General features: G+C 48.3%; 1 protein-coding gene across 6 annotated transcripts in view, besides 6 other annotated features; it reads right to left on the bottom strand.

Moving 5' to 3' along the window:
- The window catches only part of VDAC1 (voltage dependent anion channel 1), a 142,670-nt gene that overhangs the window by 58,757 nt on the left and 64,444 nt on the right, over positions 1 to 19,469 (bottom strand). The window lies entirely within an intron of this gene.
- Positions 34 to 133: an enhancer, noted in NCBI's record as "active region_23118". NCBI's record gives its function as "activates an Ori minimal core promoter by ATAC-STARR-seq in GM12878 lymphoblastoid cells {active_cell/tissue: GM12878}" and the evidence as "EXISTENCE:reporter gene assay evidence [ECO:0000049][PMID:35858748]".
- Positions 11,604 to 11,723: an enhancer, noted in NCBI's record as "active region_23119". NCBI's record gives its function as "activates an Ori minimal core promoter by ATAC-STARR-seq in GM12878 lymphoblastoid cells {active_cell/tissue: GM12878}" and the evidence as "EXISTENCE:reporter gene assay evidence [ECO:0000049][PMID:35858748]".
- Positions 11,744 to 11,873: an enhancer, noted in NCBI's record as "active region_23120". NCBI's record gives its function as "activates an Ori minimal core promoter by ATAC-STARR-seq in GM12878 lymphoblastoid cells {active_cell/tissue: GM12878}" and the evidence as "EXISTENCE:reporter gene assay evidence [ECO:0000049][PMID:35858748]".
- Positions 16,200 to 16,840: an enhancer, noted in NCBI's record as "OCT4-NANOG-H3K27ac-H3K4me1 hESC enhancer chr5:133382518-133383158 (GRCh37/hg19 assembly coordinates)". NCBI's record gives its function as "activates a minimal SCP1, AML or CMV promoter by ChIP-STARR-seq in naive and primed H9 embryonic stem cells {active_cell/tissue: H9 hESC(naive and primed)}" and the evidence as "EXISTENCE:reporter gene assay evidence [ECO:0000049][PMID:30033119]".
- Positions 16,841 to 17,480: an enhancer, noted in NCBI's record as "OCT4-NANOG-H3K27ac-H3K4me1 hESC enhancer chr5:133383159-133383798 (GRCh37/hg19 assembly coordinates)". NCBI's record gives its function as "activates a minimal SCP1, AML or CMV promoter by ChIP-STARR-seq in primed H9 embryonic stem cells {active_cell/tissue: H9 hESC(primed)}" and the evidence as "EXISTENCE:reporter gene assay evidence [ECO:0000049][PMID:30033119]".
- Positions 18,885 to 19,460: an enhancer, noted in NCBI's record as "H3K4me1 hESC enhancer chr5:133385203-133385778 (GRCh37/hg19 assembly coordinates)". NCBI's record gives its function as "activates a minimal SCP1, AML or CMV promoter by ChIP-STARR-seq in primed H9 embryonic stem cells {active_cell/tissue: H9 hESC(primed)}" and the evidence as "EXISTENCE:reporter gene assay evidence [ECO:0000049][PMID:30033119]".

Below are 19,469 nucleotides of genomic sequence, written 5' to 3' on the forward strand. Positions count from 1 at the left end.
ACTCTGTCGCCCAAGCTGGAAGCTGGAGTCCAGTGGTGACAGCGATCTCAGCTCACCGCAACCTCCATCTCCCAGGTTCAAGTGATTCTCCTGCCTCAGCCTCCTGAGAATCTGGGATTACAGGCCTCTGCCACCACATCTGGCTAATTTTGTATTTTTAGTAGGGGTTTTTTAGGGGTTTTACCATGATGGTCAGGCTGGTCTTGAACTCCTGACCTCAAGTGATCTGCCCACCTTGGCCTCCCAAAGTGCTGGGATTACAGCCGTGAGCCACTGCTCCCAGCCTCTCTGCAGCTTTCTGTTTGTGCTAGAATCATGAATTATGCCTAGATTTGCTGGAACAAGGCCCCTTCCCTAGGGATCCCAAGGGACCCAACAACAGTAATGTTACAGCTACCACTTCCATTACCATCACTTGCCACTCATGAGACAGACTACAGGGACCTCACACTTTTGCCCTCAGGTGGTCCTGGATGACCACCTGGTGTGGGGATCATTAACCTTGGAAGAAGCCATTTGCAGTCCATTCCAGCTGATCAAGAAAGAACTAAATCCAACATAGGATTTTAGACAGTAAGGAACATTGAAGACCTCCTGGTTTTATCCCTACCTTTCATATATGGGAAAATGAAGACTTAGAGTAAGTCTACAGGGATTAAATTTACTTAGTTAAAAAAAAAATGTGTTACCTGTGGTAGACTAAATACTGACCCCCAAAGATATACAGGTCCTAATCCTCAGAATCTGTGAATGCTGCCTTGTATGGCTTAAGGGACTTTGCTGACACAAAATAAGAATTTTGAAATAGGGAAATTATCCCAGGAGGCCCTAAATGCAATCACAAGTCTGTTTATAAGAGGGAGACAGGAGATTCTATACAGAATGCAATGTGACCAGGAAAGTAAGATGCTACTCTGGGCCGGGTACAGTGGCTCACACCTGTAATCCTAGCACTTTGGGAGGCCGAGGCAGGTGGATTGTCTGAGCTCAGGAGTTCAAGACCAGCCTCAAAACCCCATCTCTACTAAAATACAAAAAATTAGGCCAGGCGCAGTGGCTCATGCCATAATCCCAGCACTTTGGGAGGCTGAGGCAGGCGGATCACTTGAGGTCAGGAGTTTCAGACCAGCCTGGCCAACATGGCGAAACCCCATCTCTACTAAAAATACAAAAATTAGCTGGGAATGGTGGCAGGTGCCTGTAATCCCAGCTACTTGGGAGGCTGAGGCAGGAGAATCGCTTGAACCTGGGAGGTGGAGGTTGCATTGAGCCGAGATTACACCACTGCACTCCAGCCTCGGTGACAGAGCGAGACCCCATCTCAAAAAAAAAAAAAAAAAAGAACAAAAAAATTAGCTGGGTGTGGTGTCATGCACCTGTAGTCCCAGCTACTTGGGAGGCACGAGAATTGCCTGAACCCGGGAGGTGGAGGTTGCAGTGAGCCAAGATTGTGCCACTGCACTCCAGCCTGGGCCACAGAGCGAGACTCTGCCTCACAAAAAAAAAAAAAAAAAAAAGCTACTCTGCTGGCTTTGAAGACACAGGAAGAGACTAAGAGCCAAGGAATGCAAGGAGTACAGCTCTAGAAACTGGAAAAGGCAAGGAAACAGATTCTCTCCTAGAGGCTCAGACAAACCCTGACAAACCTTGGTTCTGGTCAAGTTAAACCATTTCAGACTTGTGGCCCAAGAACAGCAAGACAATGAATGTGTGTGGTTTTAAGCCAATAAATGTATGGTAATTTGTTACAGCAGCAATAGGAAACCAATATATTACCTAACAAATCCACATCTGCACTTACCTTTGACCCACCAACCCACTCCTAGGATTTCACTCTGAAGATACACCTCCAACATTACAAAGCATACATGTGCAAGATTATTCTGTGCAAAATTGTTTATAATTGCTGAATACTGGAAATTATCTAAATGTCCATGCATGGAAGAATGGTTGAATGAGCCACGGTATGACCCCACAATGGAGTAGTATGCAGCTATAAATAGAAAGAGGAAACGAATACAAATTGATTCCCAAGAGATATTAACTGGAAAGAGAAAAATACAAAAGAGTATGTATGGTATGCTCCTTTTCATGTAAGAAAGAAGAGGATATAAAGAAATAAAGCCAGGAGCAGTGGATCACACCTGTAATCTCAATGCTTTGGGCAGCCGAGGTAGGAGGATCACTTGAGGCCAGGAGCTCAAGTCCAGCCTGGGCAACAGAGTGAGACTCTTTCTCTACAAAATAAAACAAAATAATGCCAGGTGCAGTGGTACATGCCTGTAGTTCCAGCTACTCAGGAGGCTGGGACAGGAAGATTGCTTGAGCCCAGAAAGTCAAGGCTATGATTGTACCTCTGCACTCCAGCCTGGGGGCAGAGTGAGAGCCCCATCTCAAAAAAGGAGAGGGGAGGGGACGGGAAGGGAGGAGAGGAGAGGAGAGGAGAGGAAACGAGAGAGAGGAGAGGGAAAAAGAGAAAGAAAATATACATGTATATGCTCAAGGAAATCTAGGAAGTAGAAACTAATTTTTTTTTTTTTTTTTTTTTGAGACGGCGTCTGGCTCTGTCACCCAGGCTGGAGTGCAATGGCGTGATGTCGGCTCACTGCAATCTCCACCTCCCGGGTTCAAGCGGTTCTCTTGCCTCAGCCTCCCAAGTAGCTGGGGCTACAGGCGCCCACCAGCATGCCCGGCTAATTTTTATATTTTTAATAGAGACGGGGTTTCACCACGTTGGCCAGGATGGTCTCGATCTCCTAACCTCGTGATCCGCCCGCCTCGGCCTCCCAAAGTGCTGGGATTACAGGCATGAGCCACCGCACCCGGCCACGGAGAAGCTAAATATAAATAAGGTTTCTTGGCCTAGAGCGGCAGGCAGGTGCTTATAGAATAGCAAGAATGAGGAAATGTGAATGGATAGAAGTCATGCTGGGGGAGCTCCACTTTTGTATTTCCGGGTCTTAAAACTATGGCAGTATTTCACGTACCAATAATACTAATTAATTAATTAATTAAAATCAATCAGGAAGTGGGTGAGCCCAAAATGGAAAAAAAAAAAAAAGTAAAAAAAGAGTCGAAATATAGGCCGGGTGCGATGGCTCACGCCTGTAATCCCACCACTTTGGGAGGCCAAGGCGGGCGGATCACGAGGTCAGCAGATCGAGACCATCCTGGCTAACACGGTGAAACCCCGTCTCTACTAAAAATACAAAAAATTAGCCGGGAGTGGTGGCAGGCGCCTGTAGTCCCAGCTACTTGGGAGGCTGAGGCAGGAGAACGGCATGAACCCGGGAGGCGGAGCTTGCAGTGAGCCGAGATCGCACCACCGCACTCCAGCCTGGGCAACAGAGCGAGACTCCGTCTCAAAAAAAAAAGAAAAGAACCGAAATATATTAGAAATAAATAATAGAACCAGCCACGTGAAAAAGGTGGGGAAGAAAAAAGCTAATCTATGTAACTTTGGGAAGCATTATTTGATTATGCATTGGTAAGACTAAAGACAAAAAGATCAAGGCACATGTTCTCAGGATCTCCTGAGGGCTGTGTCACGCGCAAAAAAAAAAAATAAAAAGAACTCTACACATATATGTTAGTATATTTGTTTTTCAGAAGAATATCGGCTAGCAATTTGAAGCTACTTTCTGTGTGGAGCAGATTGTGTCCCCCAAAAGACAAGCCTAAGTCCTCACCCCTAGAGCCTGTGAATGTGACCTTCTTTGGAGACAGGATTTTCACAGATACTATCATTAAGTAAAGGATCTTGAAACGAGGGTGGGCCCCTAGCTCCAGTGACCAGTGTTCTCTGGAGAGAAAGGAGATGCGTGACACAGGCCCTGCCAAGGTGGAGGCAGAGATCCAAGCGACGCGTCCACTAGCCCGGGAAGCCCAGAATGCCACGCGCCGGACGCTAGGAAGAGGCCGGGATAGGGTTTTCTCCCAGAGCCCGCAGCAGGAAACAAACACGCCTTTTCGGGCACTTTGATTTTGTACTGCTAGTCTCGAGGGTTGTGAGAAAATAAAATTTTGTGTTTGACGCCACCCAGCTTGTGGTAACTTGTGCGGCCCTGGGACACTAATGCAAGGTGCATGCTGGGACCGAGCTGGTGAATAAACATGGCGGACAGTGAGAGCCAGGTTTCCACTATGGAGGAAAGGAGCTGCGAGTAAGGAAAGGAGCTGCGAGTAAGGAAAGGAGCAAGGTTAAAATGAACCCTGTGGTGTTGAATTGGAATCTCAGGTATCGGTATACATTCATGATGTTTTCCTCTGACAACTGATCGTAGGGAGAAAAATTCATGGTTTTTATGGTAGATGGAGAGAGGGGGGACATGTAGAAATGGATATAGATGTGCATGTATATGTCTGTCTGAACATACACTTCCTAGCTCTGTCCACCGAGAGGGCCTAGGAGCAACGACACTCCCAACAATGAGGACATCTAATGCCCAGATCTCGGTTTCCAAGCACTGTGCTGCAATAGCAAGGACCAGGCTCTTGGAGAAATGGCTGGTCGCTGGGCTGAGGCAGGAGAAGTACAAGATGAACCTGGCACATCTTGCGGTCCTGGGAATTAAGGATGTGCTAAACAAAGTAATAAGCCAAATCTGGGACAATTTTTGTTGTGTTTTGTTTTTGAGACAAGTTCTCTCTGTTACCCAGGCTGGAGTGCAGTGGTGCCATCATCTCTTACTGCAGCCTCAACCTCACCAGCTCAAGTGATCCTCCCACTTCAGCCTCGCAAGTAGCTGGGACTACACGTGTGCACAACAAAACCCTGCTAATTTTTTAAAATATACGTTTTGTAGAAAAGAGGTCTCATCATTTTGCCCAGACTGGTCTTGAACTCCTGAGCTCAAGCAATCTGCCCACCTTGGTCTCCCAAAGTGCTGCGATTACAGGCTTAAGCCAACACACCAGCGAACATTTGAGCAACAAAATAAATAATAAAGGATGATAACCCACTGAATAAATGTCCATAAGTCCATACTGATGGAAATAAAAATCAATTAGATAAATGGAGAAGGGACAGCTCTTCCTTTCAAATTCCAACTAATAAATGCAGAAGGAATAATGCAAATAGAAAATCATCATTTGCCAGGCCCGGCCTTGTGGCTCACGCCTGTAATCCCAGCACTTTGGGAGGCTGAAGCAGGTGGGTCATGAGGTCAGGAGTTCAAGACCAGCCTGGCCAAGATGGTGAAACCCCGTCTCTACTAAAAACTACAAAAATTAGCCGGGCGCAGTGGCAGGTGCCTGAAATCCGAGCTACTAGGGAGGCTGAGGCAGGAGAATCGCTTGGACCCTGGCGGCAGAGGTTGCAATGAGCCGAGATCGCACCACTGCACTCCAACCCGGACAACAGAGTGAGACTCCATCTCAAAAAAAAAAAAAAAAAAAAATTCCCATTTGCCAAACAGTACAGGAATTGTTGCAGGCAGGAATCATCAATGGATGCTGAAATTAGTAAGCCAAAATATGACAAGAAATATAATATTTGGATCATCTCCATCTATTTCCTCACAAGATATTTAATTGATTACAAACAGAAAAAATAGTAGCTTCACAGTGGAGAGACCAGGCAGGTACCACCTTAACCAAGTGATCAAAGTTAATAACACCTGAAAGGAGGCACATAAACATCATGTGCTTCCTGATACCGTCCTCTGAGAATAGCACGTCACTGCTGTGGTATTTCTGCTAAAATGCATAACTTCAGTCTAATCCTGAAAAAAATCAAACACAAATTGAGGGACATTCAAAATATAACTGGCCAACACTCTTCATAAGTGTCAAGGTCATGAAAGACTGGGGAACTGTCCCAGATTGGAAGACACTAAAGAGACATGACAACTAAACATAATGTCGGATCCTTGGACTAAAACACCAACCAGAAAAAAGGACATTAGTAGGTCAAGTGCACTTCTAGTAAGATCTGTAGGGATCCCTTGAGCCCAGGAGTATAAGGTTGCAGTGAGCTATAATCACACCACTGCACTCCAGCCTGGGTGACAGAGCAAGACACTGTCTTTTTTAAAAAAAAAAAAGGCCGGGTGTGGTGGCTCACGCCTGTAGTCCCAGCACTTTGGGAGGCTGAGGCAGGCGGATCACGAGGTCAGGAGATCGAGACCATCCTGGCTAACACAGTGAAACCTCATCTCTACTAAAAATACAAAGAATTAGCCAGGCATGATGGCGAGCACCTGTAGTCCCAGCTACTTGGGAGGCTGAGGCAGGAGAATGGTGTGAACCCAGGAGGTGGAGCTTGTAATGAGCCTAGATCACGCCACTGCACTCTAGCCTGGGCAACAGAGTGAGACTCCGTCTCAAAAAAAAAAACAAAAAAACAACAAACAAACAAAAAAACTGAAGCAAATGCACAAACAGTTAATATGACATTATTAGCAGTTCCTCAGGCTGATGAGGATGCAGAAGGTGCCCTTTAACGAGTAACCAAGTGCAGGAGAACAGAGGAACAACCACAGCACAAACAGGCAACCATCCAGAGACCAGGGTGGACACTGCAGGACAAGAAGTGAAAGTCAGATGGAAGAAACGAGGCCCAATAAAGCAACAATCCTAATAGATTTGTTTTTCAGAAACCTGGATGCCCACCAGATGGAAAATGCCCATTGCTGTCATGTGGACCTCAGATAAGAGGGAACTGAGGACTGAACTCTGATCACTGCCCTGTGTTCTAAATTTCTTCCCGAGGTGCTTGGAGAAAGTGACACCTGCAGGCCATCAATTTGCTAAACTGGTCACTCTGACCTAGTGCATTAGGGCTTGCTCTGGTGACCTGACTGGCATAGCACCCCTGATGATTAATGGGTTTCCTGATCTTAACTAGCCTATATTAAGGCCAAATCTTAACATTCTTTTCTGCTGACCCCAAGTTTTTTAGACAAAGTCTTCCTTCCTCAACCAACTGCAAATCAAAGAATCTCTGAATCTACCTATGACCTGTAAGCCCCTGCTTCAAGATATCCCACCTTTTTGGGCTAAACCAATGTATAGCTTCCATATGTTTGTTTACACATTGGCCTGTGACTTCTCCTTTCCTGAAATGTACCCCTGCCTTTAAAAACCCTTGCTTGTAAGCCATCAGGGAGGTTGGGTCTTAAGCGTGAGCTCCCCATCCTCCTTGCCTGATGATGTCCTGCAATAAATGCCTCTTTCTCTCACTGCAAAAAAAGCCCCCAAAAACAACAAAAAACCTGTAGATTAGTGAATCGTATTGTATCAATGTTAACTCCTTTTATAGATCATTGTACTACAGTTATATATGATATTGACATTAAGGCAATCAGAGTGAAAATATACCATAACTCTGTAATATCATTGCAACTAAAATTATTCCAAAATACAAGAATTTGTAAAAGAATGCTTATTAAATAATGTCAATGTGCCAAAGACTGGGGAAATTATGGTAAATGCTAGATATGGCCTCTACCCTCAAGGAGTTACAACACATGTGGGTTCCCAAGCAATAAACAAGGAAACAAGCACATAAACAATACAATTCAAGCAGTGAAAAGTACAATGGAGAATACAAAATGGGGAGAAGAATTAGGCAGGGGTCCTAATTTAATGAGGGTGATTAGGAAAGGCCTCTGACATTACAGCTAAGGCCTGAAAGAACTCAGAAAGCAAACCACATAAATATCTGGGGAAAGAGTGCCCCAGGCAAAGCAAACAGCAGGTTCAGAGGCCCCTGGGATGAGAACAAGGTGGCATGTTTGAGAGGCAGCAAAAAGCCCAGTGTGGCTGGAGGGAAGCCAGTAAGCATGGAGGGTAAGAGCGGGGATTGAAAGGAAGGCAGAGGCAGAGCATACAGGGTTTTGCCGGCTCTGGCCAGGAGTTGGGACTTTATTTCCTATCCACGACCCCCTCCCTCAATCCCACCCCCCACAAATATCATTCAGTGTAATATGTATGGGACAGCATGGGGCAGGTACTTGTGAGTTCAAAACAGCTACAGCATTGTTTTGTGAACATGAAAATATTTTGAAAAGATAACTCAATTCTGCCAAGTCTTTTGTCTTTGCCTGGCTCAAATACATTCCTCACCAAGTGAATCCTTTTACCCTTTGCTAATTACCCCGTGACAATTAAAGTAGTTCTGCTTTGCAGCAATAGGATAGTAAATTCCAAAGTTATTTTGGACACCAAAACCAGGAGAGAAAGTCAGTTAACAGCCTTCCAGGTAAGCCAAGGTGTGTTTATATGTTGACTTTTAAATGTTATCATTGAGATAGACACAAAATGAACCCATTTTGTGTCTATCATTGAGATAGACACAAAATGGGCCCATAGAGGGCCCATGGAAATGCCCACAGATGCTAATGTAAAGGCCCAGTAATAGACACTTTATTTGCAATAGGCGCCTTATTTACAACATTCTGTATTGTGGCATTCATTACTCGCTGACCTCCATGCTTTCCAGAGCACCAAGTAGGTCCATGCAAGCAAAGTGAAACCAATTCTCCAGAAAGCCCTTGTAATTTCTCCTCCCCACCTCAATCGTCCTCCCTTGCCTGTGGGCCAAGACCAAGGAACCAACCTATTGCTGTTACAGTGATTCGCAACCCTGGCTTCACATTGATGTCATCTGGAGAGCCCTAATAAATACTGATGCTAGGCCCCAACGAAACAGATGATTGTTTCACTGGTCTGGAATGGCCCCCGACATGCGTGGTTTTTTATTTTTTTTATTTTTTTTGAGACGGAGTCTCCCTCTGTCGCCCAGGCTGGAGTGCAGTGGCGCAATCTCGGCTCACTGTAAGCTCTGCCTCCTGGGTTCTGGCCATTCTCCCGCCTCAGCCTTCTGAGTAGCTGGGACTACAGGCTCCTGCCACCACGCCCGGCTAATTTTTTGTATTTTTAGTAGAGACGGGGGTTTCACCGTGTTAGCCAGGATGGTCTCGATCTGCTGACCTCGTGATCCGCCCGCCTTGGCCTCCCAAAGTGCTGGGATTACAGGCGTGAGCCACCGCGCCCGGCAGACGTGCGTAATTTTAAAGCTCCCTCTGGTGGTTCTACTGAGAACCCTCTGTGCCAGAATGAGACCTGGCTGCTATTAGAGAATTAGCCACGAGGTGGCGCCAGAAGCTGACCAAAGAAGCGAGATGGGCCATCTCCCGGCTCCCAAACCCTGCAGTCTCCAGGAGGAGGCACAGTTCCCTGTTCTCAAATTAGGGGAGCAAACACTAGGCTCTGGCCACTCAGGTTTCTTTCACCTTAGGAGGGTGGCATGTCTGCCCACAGCCAAGTTTCCAGACTGCTCCTGCAGTCTGGAACGCAGACACAGCACATTCCCAAGCACCTATGAGCTGTCAACTAAGAAAAACCACAGGGTGACAGCACCCCCTTAGGCGCAGGAGCTCCTGGAACCCCAAAATTGGGCCCTTCCAGGGACAAGGACGGAGGCTTCAGTTCCATGGGTCCACACAAAAGGCATCTCCTCTTTTGGCACCCGAGAGAGAGACCCCTGAGGTTAGCACTCCCATTCTAAAAGGAGCAATTGGCTGGCACGGTGGCTCACACCTCTAACCCCAACACTTTGGGAGGCCAAGACGGGTGGATCACTTGAGGTCGAGAGCTGGAGACCAGCCTGGCCAACATGGCGAAACCCGGTCTCCACTAAAAATATAAAAATTAGCTGGGCATAGGCCAGGAGCAGTGGCTCATGCCTGTAATCCCAGCACTTTGGGAAGCCGAGGTGGGCGGATCACGAGGTCAGGAGTTCGAAACCAGCCTGGCCAACATAGTGAAATCCCATCTCTACTAAAAATACAAAAATTAACTGGGTGTGGTGGCACGTGCCTGTAGTCCCAGCTACTCGGGAGGCTGAGGTGGGAGAATCGCTTGAACCCGGGAGGCAGAGGTTGCAGTGAGCCGAGACCACGCCATTGCACTCCAGCCTGGGTGACAGAGTGAGACTCCGTCTCAAAAAAAAAAAAAATTAGCTGGGCATGGTGCCACGTGCCTGTGGAGGCAGGCTGAGGCAGGAGAATCGCTTGAATCAAGGAGGTGGAGGTTGCGGTGAGCCAATATCGTACTGCTGCACTCCAGCCTGGGCGACAGAGCGAGATTCTGTCTCAAATATAAAATTAAAAAATAAAAAGAGCAGTTGATTCTGTGTCTCTCCAAAACATCCTTTGAAGAACAACCCAGGCTATCCAATAGTGTCTCCTCCCCAGTTGGGAAAGGGGTCACTCTAGGAAGTCAGTTCTCCCTGAATTACTTTAACTTCCCAGGAATTACACATGGAGGGCTGCAAACCTTTTTAAATGTGGTTCAAAATTTTGTGTGTGTGTTTTTCCCCCAAGAAGAGAATCTGTAGCTTTCACTAAAAGGATTAATAATGCAAAAGATGAAGAACTGTCGGAACAGATGGACTTTAATGAAGAAATTTAAAATATTGTCCTTGGGATCCAGTTCAGTTGTTCTGGAATAAATGCACTCACTTTGCTCAAACCCCTGCTACTGATCCTACTCAAGGGAAAACATTACCAGCTCCTTCTCTTGATGCTTCAAAGACTTGGCTGACCCGCAGGCTCCTTCCGAACATCTTTGGTCACCTGCAGGCTCTGGGAATGACAGAGCTCACCTTGCTCAGGGGACTTCTTTCTTTGGGGGATGTCAGAAAAGAGGTTGCTGCTGAAAATTCCTTGACCTAATCTTTACTGCTTCAGGTACCTACACCCACTCTGGGAGGGGCCACAGGCCCAGGAGGGGCACATCCATGGATCATGTAAACCAAGCAGTGTAGGGGCCTCTGCTGACCAGTGGGAAGGCGAAGGAATGGGTCTGGGGCTAGAGAAGGCCAGCCCTGATGGCCAACGTCCTAGCAGAATATAAGGTGCTTATCCAATGGTCCCAGGACCAGCTGCTCAGGGAGCCCTGGACATCAGCGCTGTGAGTGGCATGGGACTCTGTAATGCCCCCTCCCCACTCCAGTGGGGATGGGAAAGATGGTGGGACCGAGCTGGTGGGCCTCATTTCACCAGACTCAAACTCAGAGAAACGCAGGCCTTGCCTAACATCACACAGCAAGGGGCCTTGGAGCCATGCCTGGGACTTGGGCCTCCTGCCTTCCACACAGGGCGCTTTGCATGGCCCCATGAGGAGCCCCCAGCTCCAGGCATCCCTGTTGGTGAGTGGCTCCCTGGGAGCAGGGCCCACCCAGGGTGGGCTGGCCAGTCAGTCCTCCAGAGTAAGGCGCCATCCTGGCCACCACCCCACACTCCCTGGCTGGCCTGGCCACCCTCGAAGCTCCTGAGGTGACCCATTTCCCTCACTCTCCTCTGCAGCTTCAAAACAAATCAAAATGCAGACCAACATCCTTTGTTTGTTTTGGGGGATCAGAGAAAGGGGAAAGCAGCTCTGTGGGTTTGCACTTGAAAACAAAACTGCTCTGAGCTGCCCGAGCAGAAACCAAACCAAAGGTGAACTTGGAGGCCAGAACCCCTTGTGGCAATGCTCTCAGAATGAGTCAAGGGGCAGCGTGGGAAGGTCGGAAGCAGGGCTGTCTACTGACCAGGCACTGATGGCCTGGGGTCAACAGCTGCCATGGTGGGCTCAGGGTCATGGCCACGCTCACTCATCCTGGGCACTGTGGGCTTGGGGGGGACCAGGCCCTGATAGCGACAAGCTTTCCAGTCACTGGTCTGGACCTCCTTCCTCACCATGGAGGAGTGTGGGGACACCCTGGACCTCACGGCCCCCACCCATCCTGTCTTGCCATCCCTTGCCCACAGGCCCATGCTGGGTGCCCAGGCTAGGTGACCTGCCCCGTGGTAACTTCTAGCCAGTAGGTGAGACCACAAAGGCCCATTCAGTACTGGGCATTTTTTGGTTTTGTTTTTCTTTTTTTTTTCTTAGACAGAGTCTTGCTCTGTCTCTTAGCCTCTCCAGAGTGCAGTGGTGCAATCTCAGCTCACTGCAACCTCCGCCTCCCAGGTTCAAGCGATTCTCCTGCCTCGGCCTCCAGAGTAGCTGGAACTACAGGCATGCACTACTGTGCCTGGCTACTTTTTCTATTTTCGTAGAGATGGGGTTTCACCATTTTGGCCAACTTGAACTCCTGGCCTCAAGTGACCCGCCTGCTTCAGCCTCCCAAAGTGCTGGGGATTACAGGCGTGAGCCACCATGCCTGGCTTTGGGTCTTTTAATGGGAGTTCGGCCAGGCACCATCTTACCTGCCTGTTGAACTTCTGCTTCTTAATGAAACTGGGCTCCCCCAGGTCCCCCACCTCCAGAGGAAAGCACATAGTGGGACAGAAACCAGAGTGCTCTAGACTTCTGGGGTTCCCCATTGGCACTGAGTATGTGGGTCGTGGGAGACAGGCTGGTGGAAACCCTGCCTGGGCCTTTCTTTTCCTGAGCTTGGATGAAAGAATGGGAGCAGCAGGGGCAGATCCAGGGAGGTCCAACTGATGTCACTGGATCCTGCCAAGAGCCTCAGTGAACACTATGATCCTGGGGCAGGGGTGGCAGGAGAAGAGTGATCAAGGCTTCAGGGTGAATGGTGGGCCTGTCGGCCTGGCAAAGTGATATAATCAATTTTGACTGTCCAAGGGTGACCAGAGATGCTCTCCTCTGAGTGAGGATTTCTCACCTCTCCGAATAGTTTCAAATGCCCAGTCTCATGTGAGCTTCACAACTATCCAGGATATATAGAAAAGGAGCTGCTGAGGTTCAGAGAAGCAAAGCAACGTACTCCAGGTCACACAGAGGCAGGGCTAGGACAAGGGCAGCGCTGGGCCACACCCCTCCCAGGAATTAGCCCAACCAGAGCGAAATTCTAGACTGCGGGACTACCTAAGAGGTGGCTGGAAAGGACTCTCACCTCCTCCTCTCTGGTTATTCTGCCCTAGGATGGGCTGGGTAGACTTTTCTTTTTTCTTTTTTCTTTTTTTTTCCCAGACAAGGTTCACTCTGTTGCCCAGGCTGGAGTGTAGTGGTGCAATCACGGCTCACTGCAGCCTCAACCTCCAGGCTCAAGTTATCCTCCCACCTCAGCCTCCTGAGTAGCTGGTACTTACAGTTGTGCACCACCATGGCCAGCTAATTTTTGTATGTTTTGTAGAGATGGGGTCTCATTATGTTGCCCAAGCTCATCTTGAACTCCTGGGCTCAAGCGATCCACCCATCTTGGCCTCTCAAAGTGCTGGGACTACAGGTGTGAGCCACCGCGCCCAGCCTAGGTAGACTTTTATCCAGTGCCTGCATTTTTCTTAAGCTCCCATTTTTTTAGTTCTTTGGTGATAAATGGAGCACTTGACTTCCATTCTCTCACCTAATCCTCACTCCAGCCCTGACAGGTAGGTGCCCTCAGTCGCCCATTTCAGAGATGCTGAAGCTGACGCAAAGAGACGTTGATCAACCAGCCCAAGGTAACCCAGCTGATGAGCACAGACTGCGACTCAAACCAAGCCTTTCCAACTCCAGAGCAGGCGATGTTTTTGCTCAGTACCCTGCCTCCCATCCCCATCCCTTCACCAATGGAATGTTGAGTTTACACCCCCTCATTTCCGTATAGCTGTCCAAAAGCTGGGCCTCCTCCAAGATCCAAGGTAGGTTATGATTGGCAGCCTGAACTTCAGAGGCCCATCTTCCCTTGCTGGGGGCCAACTCAGACATCTGTGCTCCCAGCTCTTTCCGCCCTAGCTCCAGCTCCCATCATATGCAGGTGTCTGCACAACGGCCCCTCCAACAGCAGCCAACACCTGGGTCCCCTCCCCATCAATGGGAGATCCGCCCCATCCTTCCTGTCGGGGAACCTCCTCAGCTGCTGGGAGGCTCCCCAGACAGCTAAGGGATTTTTATGGATTAATAAAAACTTCCAAGGCCCTGCTAAGCTAGCTGGCATTTCAGTTCCCTCAGTGGACAGAAGTGTCCTCTCTTCCTTCAGAATAGGGCTCCATGGCACATTTGCATATCTGTATGTGTCTGTGTGCACATACCCATTGGTGCACGTGTGTGTGCACATAACTGTGTGTGTGTGTGCATATTGCTATCTGTGTGTGTGTGTGCGCGCGCGCACAGGTATGTAAGTGCTTATCTGGGTATGCATCTAGGTATAGAAAAGACCGTGTGATGTCCCAAGCTGTGTGTTGTCTGTGTATGTGTGCTACTGAATTATTTATTCATTCAGCAAATATTTCTTGAGCTCCTACCCCATGTGAGGTACTGCGCCAGAGCTAGGGGCACAGAAGAGACTGGCTGCCTAGAGCTCAGAGTCTTCAAGGAGCTCATCACCATGTGAAACCCCCTCAACTCTGGCCATCCTGGGGAAGGGAGGCCTAGGCAGGGGCTGTAATTAGGCCCGGGAGCCAGAGGGCAGTTTTGGCCTTTTGGGTAGCTGGTTCCAAGACAATGCCCAGAGCAGGGGCCCAGAAACTCCCAACAAGGTCGGCCCTGTGAAGTTCCATTCCTTGTGCTTCCCAATCACATCACGGGTCAAAACCCTCCAAAGCCACAGTGGACAAAGCTCCTTCCATGGGGGAGGAAGAACAGCCAGAGAACTAGATTCCCAAAGAAAGTCCACAAAATCAGAAAAATTTTAGGCCCTGCTGGCCTGGACTCATCAGCTTCAGTCAAGAAAGCATAGTGTGTGTGGCCCATCTGGCCAGCCACGCCAGTTATCTACAGAGAGGACAGCTGAAGTCCAGTGTATCAGCTTCCTACTGCTGCTGGAAAAAGTGCCACAAACTTAGTGGCTTAAAACAGCAAAATGTCTTCTATTACAGTTCAGGAGGTCAGAAGTCCTAAAACCAAGGTGCCTGCAGAGCTGCCTTCATTCTGGAGGCTTTAGGGAAGAATCATTTCCTTGCCTTTTCTAGCTTCCAGGAGCTACCTACGTTCCTTGGCTTAGGACATCATCCTCATCTTCAAAGCCAGCAGCATCTCCAAATCTGTCTCTGGCCTCTGTTTCCATTGTCTCATCTCTTCTAATATGGACTCTTCTGCCTCCCTCTTTGAAGGGCCCTTGGGGTGACATTGGGTCTGCCTGAATAATCCAGGATGGTATCCCCATCCCAAGATTTTTCTTTTTTTTTTTTGAGATGGGGTTTCACTCTTGTTGCCCAGGCTGAAGTGCAATGGTGCGATCCTGGCTCACTGCAACCTCTGCCTCCTCTGCTTCCCAGGTTCAAGTGATTCTCCTGCCTCAGCCTCCCGAGTAGCTGGGATTACAGAGGCACACCACCACGCCTGGCTAATTTTCATATTTTTAGTAGAGGCAGGGTTTCTCCGTGTTGGTCAGGCTGGTCTCGAACTCCCGACCTCAGGTGATCTGCCCACCTCAGCCTCCCAAAGTGCTGGGATTACAGGCATGAGCCACTGACCCCGGCAATTCTTCTTTTTTTTTTTTTCCATTTTTATTTATTCTATTTATTTATTTATTTATTTTTGAGATGGAGTCTCACTCTGTCACCCAAGCTGGAGTGCAGTGGCGCAATCTCGGCTCACTGCAAGCTCCGCCTCCCGGGTTCACGCCATTCTCCTGCCTCAGTCTCCCAAGCAGCTGGGACTACAGGCACCTGCCACCACGCCCAGCTCATTTTTTTTCTATTTTTTAGTAGAGACGGGGTTTCATCGTGTTAGCCAGGATTGTCTCGCTCTCCTGACCTCGTGATCCACCCACCTTGGCCTCCCATAGTGCTGGGATTACAAACATGAGCCACCATGCCCAGCCTTTTCATTTTAATTTTTTAAAAAAATAGAGACGGGGTCTCCTTATGTTGCCCAGGCTGGTCTTGAACTCCTGGGCTCGAGTGATCTGCCTGCCTCAGCCTCCCAAAGTGCTGGGTTTACAGGCATGAGCCACCATGCCTGGCCCTAAGATTCTTAATGTATTCACATCTGCAAACATCTGCAAAGTCCGTTTTGCCATATAAGGTAACAACATATTCACAGGTCTAGGCATTAGGATGTGGACATCTTGGGGCAGGTGGACAGTGTTCTGCCTACCACACCAGAAATGGAGGAAAATGCCCAAGGTTTAATGGGCTTGACCAAGGGCCAGAACTCAGGCGGTGGGTCCCCCAGTTCTGGGTTGTTTTGGGCAGCACCTCAGGGGAAAGGAAAAGGACTACCCCACAACACACATTTAAGCTTGTCTCCTAAAAAATGTTGTACACAGAGTGGTCAATAGCACCTGGTTTGAGCTTCATCTCCACTCTACACCTACCAGTGGGGTGACCTTGGCCATGTGGCTTAGTGCCTCCAGGCCTCGATCTTCTCATCTGTAAAGTGGAGACAATGATAAGGAGCCATTATGTGGCCTGTTTTGAGGATACAAGGAGCCTGTTTTGTGGCTGCACTGTTAGAGCTTTGGCAATGTTTTTGCCACCCTGCCCAGAGACACACCCTAATTCAGGTAGAAGTGGGAGAAGTGAGGGCAGGGAGAGGGAAGGAACTATACTCGGACTATCAGGGCTGGTAACTGAGATAATGCCCTTGACCTTTCTCCTGCCCCTCCCAAAGCAGTAGACCAGAGCCAGGGGGGTCACTTTCCTGGAAACTCCCCAGTGAATGAAGCCTTTGATACCTAAGTGGGTCATAGAAAGGGAACAAAGGGATGCTTTTTGCATGAAAAGCCGCCTGCTGGGGGAGGGCAGGAACCCTGGTTAATAAAAGGTTGGGTGTCAAGTGATTGCAGAGACTCAGGTAGGTGGTACATTGAGGGAAGGGGCACCCACAGAGAGGCCACAGAGAGGGGGCCACTTCAGAGGTGCTGCCCAGGCATCTCCACACAGGAGGTGGGGATGGTTCCCGAAGGACTGGAAAGGCTTCCAGAGCCCAAGCCGTGAGTGGGGCCTCAGAAAAGGACCATTCCTATGGGAGAGAGGACAAATGCTCTTGTGTCCAACTCCAGACCCCAGGGACTCCATTCATCCCGCACAGAAGGAAACTGGCAGCAGAGGCTGCAGGGCCTCCTGGGCCCCTCTTGGTGCTGCCTCCCCACTGCCATATGCTAAGCAGTATTTTATCAGCTCACAATGCTGCAGGCACCATCCATAAGCTGCAACCCATTGGGGTGTTTCTTGTTCTGTTTTTTCTGTTTTCCTTTTTGATTCAGTGTACCTGTTTGTGCAATGTAGAGATGGGCAAAACAAATCTGCACATGGCCCAGTGCTGTCACCACAGGGCAAGTGAGGCTGGCACAGTGAAGGGGATGTCGCGGGGCAGGTCCCAGAGGCACAGTTCACCACAGTGCCCTGCTTTTCACGACATCCACATGAACATGACGGCATGACATTGCATCATAAGAGGCTAGTCAACAAGCGCCATCATTTTTCTCTTTTTTTTTTTTTTGACAAGCTCCGCCTCCCGGGTTCTGCACCACTACACTCCAGCCTGGGCAACAGAGTGAACCTTGTCTGGGAAAAAAAAAGAAAAAAGCTAGTTCTGCAAGCTCCGCCTCCCGGGTTCACACCATTCTCCTGCCTCAGCCTCCCAAGTAGCTGGGACTACAGGTGCCCACCACCATGCCCTGCTAACTTTTTCTATTTTTTAGTAGAGACGGGGTTTCACCCTGTTAGCCAGGATGGTCTTGATCTCCTGACCTCGTGATCTGCCTGCCTCGGCCTCCCAAAGTGCTGGGATTACAGGCATGAGCCACCGCACCAGGCCTTTTTTTTTTCTCTCTTTTGAGACAGTCTCGCTCTGTCGCCCAGGCTGGAGGGCAGTGGTGCAATCTTGGCTCACTGCAGCCTCTGCCTCCCAGTTTCAAGTGATTCTCCTGCCTCAGCCTCCCGAGTACCTGGGACTACAGGTGTGCATTAGCACGCCTGGCTAACTTTTGTATTTTTAGTAGAGATAGGGTTTCGCCATGTTGCCCAGGCTGGTCTCGAACTCCTACTCCTGGGCTCAAGTAATCCACCCGCCTCAGCCTCCCAAAGTGCTGGGATTACAAGCATGAGCCACCGTGCTTGGCCTGACTTTTTAAATGTATAGAAACTTCATTACTACTCATAAGAGAAATACTTATTAAAGAAAACTGGGCCATAATGAAACACCACCCAATGCCCTCATTATTCAAAGACAATCCAGATCATATAGTATCTTGATCTATGTCCTCCTAGCTCTTATCCCCCGCTGGACATCTTTCCTCTAGTCCTTATCCCCCGCCGGGCATTTTTTTTTTAAACATATCTGTGCTCACACTGCATGCATACCTTCTGTGTTTTCATTTGGCATTAATTTATTTACTACTGCAGCTCCAGTATGTAGAGCAGTACTTGGCACAAATGGTACCTCAGTAAATATTTGCTGAGTGAATGAATGAATGAACCAACATGGATAATGTTTCTATGTTACACAAAAGTAATAATAATCATGATATGTGACAGGGCTTACTCTGTGCTAAGTAGTTTATATGCATTATCTCACATGATGCAGTAATCCTATGAGGTAGCCACTACTGTTATCCTCATTTTACAGATGTGTAAACTTAGGCTTAGAGAGAGATTAAGTCCCAAAGCACATGGGTAGCACTGGGTTTCTAACCCAGGTCTAGCTGATGTCAAGACTGTTTTCCTAATAGTATGTATCACTGACTCCCTGTGAATATTTTCAGAAACAGCATTTAAAATGATTTCATACTATCCTTTAATTTAATTTTTAACTTATTTAAATAAATAGAGATAAGGTCTGTCTATGTTGCCCAGGATGGTCTCCAACTCCTGGCCTCAAGCAATCGTCCTACCTCCGCTTCCTAAAGTGCTGGAATGACAGGTGTGAGCCACCATGCCCACCCCTTGCTATTCCTCAATCACTGCAAATTTAGATTACTTTCTGGTTTTATTTTTTATTGCCATAAATAATTCTGCAATAAACAACTTGATGCATAACCCAACTCCATATTTAAGGGTTACTCATTAGCAAAAATTCCCCAGAAAGTGAATTACTAGTTCAATTGGTACAAACATTTCTAAAGTTTATTTTTTTGTTTGTTTTGTTTTTTAATACAGAGTCTCACTCTGTTGCCCAGGAGGGAGCGTAGTGTGATCTCAGCTCACTGCAACCTCCATCTCTCAGGTTCACGCAATTCTCCTGTCTCAGCCTCCCAAGTAGCTGGGAATACAGGCGCCCACCACCACATCTGGATAATTTTTGTATTTTTAGTAGAGATGGGGGTTTAGCCATGTTGGCCAGGCTTGTCTCAAACTCCTGACTTCAAGTGATTGGCCCCACTTGGCCTCCCACGGTGCTGGGATTACAGGTGTGAGCCACCCTGTTCCTGGCCTAAAGCTTTTGAGGTGTGTTTTTCCACTCAACTTTGTTTAGTTTAGCTTTTACATATGGAAATTTAGATGTACTAAATCCACCACCGCCCAGGCGCGGTGGCTCACGCCTGTAACCCCAGCACTTTGGGAGGCTGAGGACGGCGGATCATGAGGTCAAGTGATTGAGACCATCCTGGCCAACATGGTGAAACTCCGTTTCTACTAAAAATACAA

Source organism: Homo sapiens, chromosome 5 (genome assembly GCF_000001405.40).
Source record: "Homo sapiens chromosome 5, GRCh38.p14 Primary Assembly".
Taxonomy (NCBI): Eukaryota; Metazoa; Chordata; class Mammalia; order Primates; family Hominidae; genus Homo; species Homo sapiens.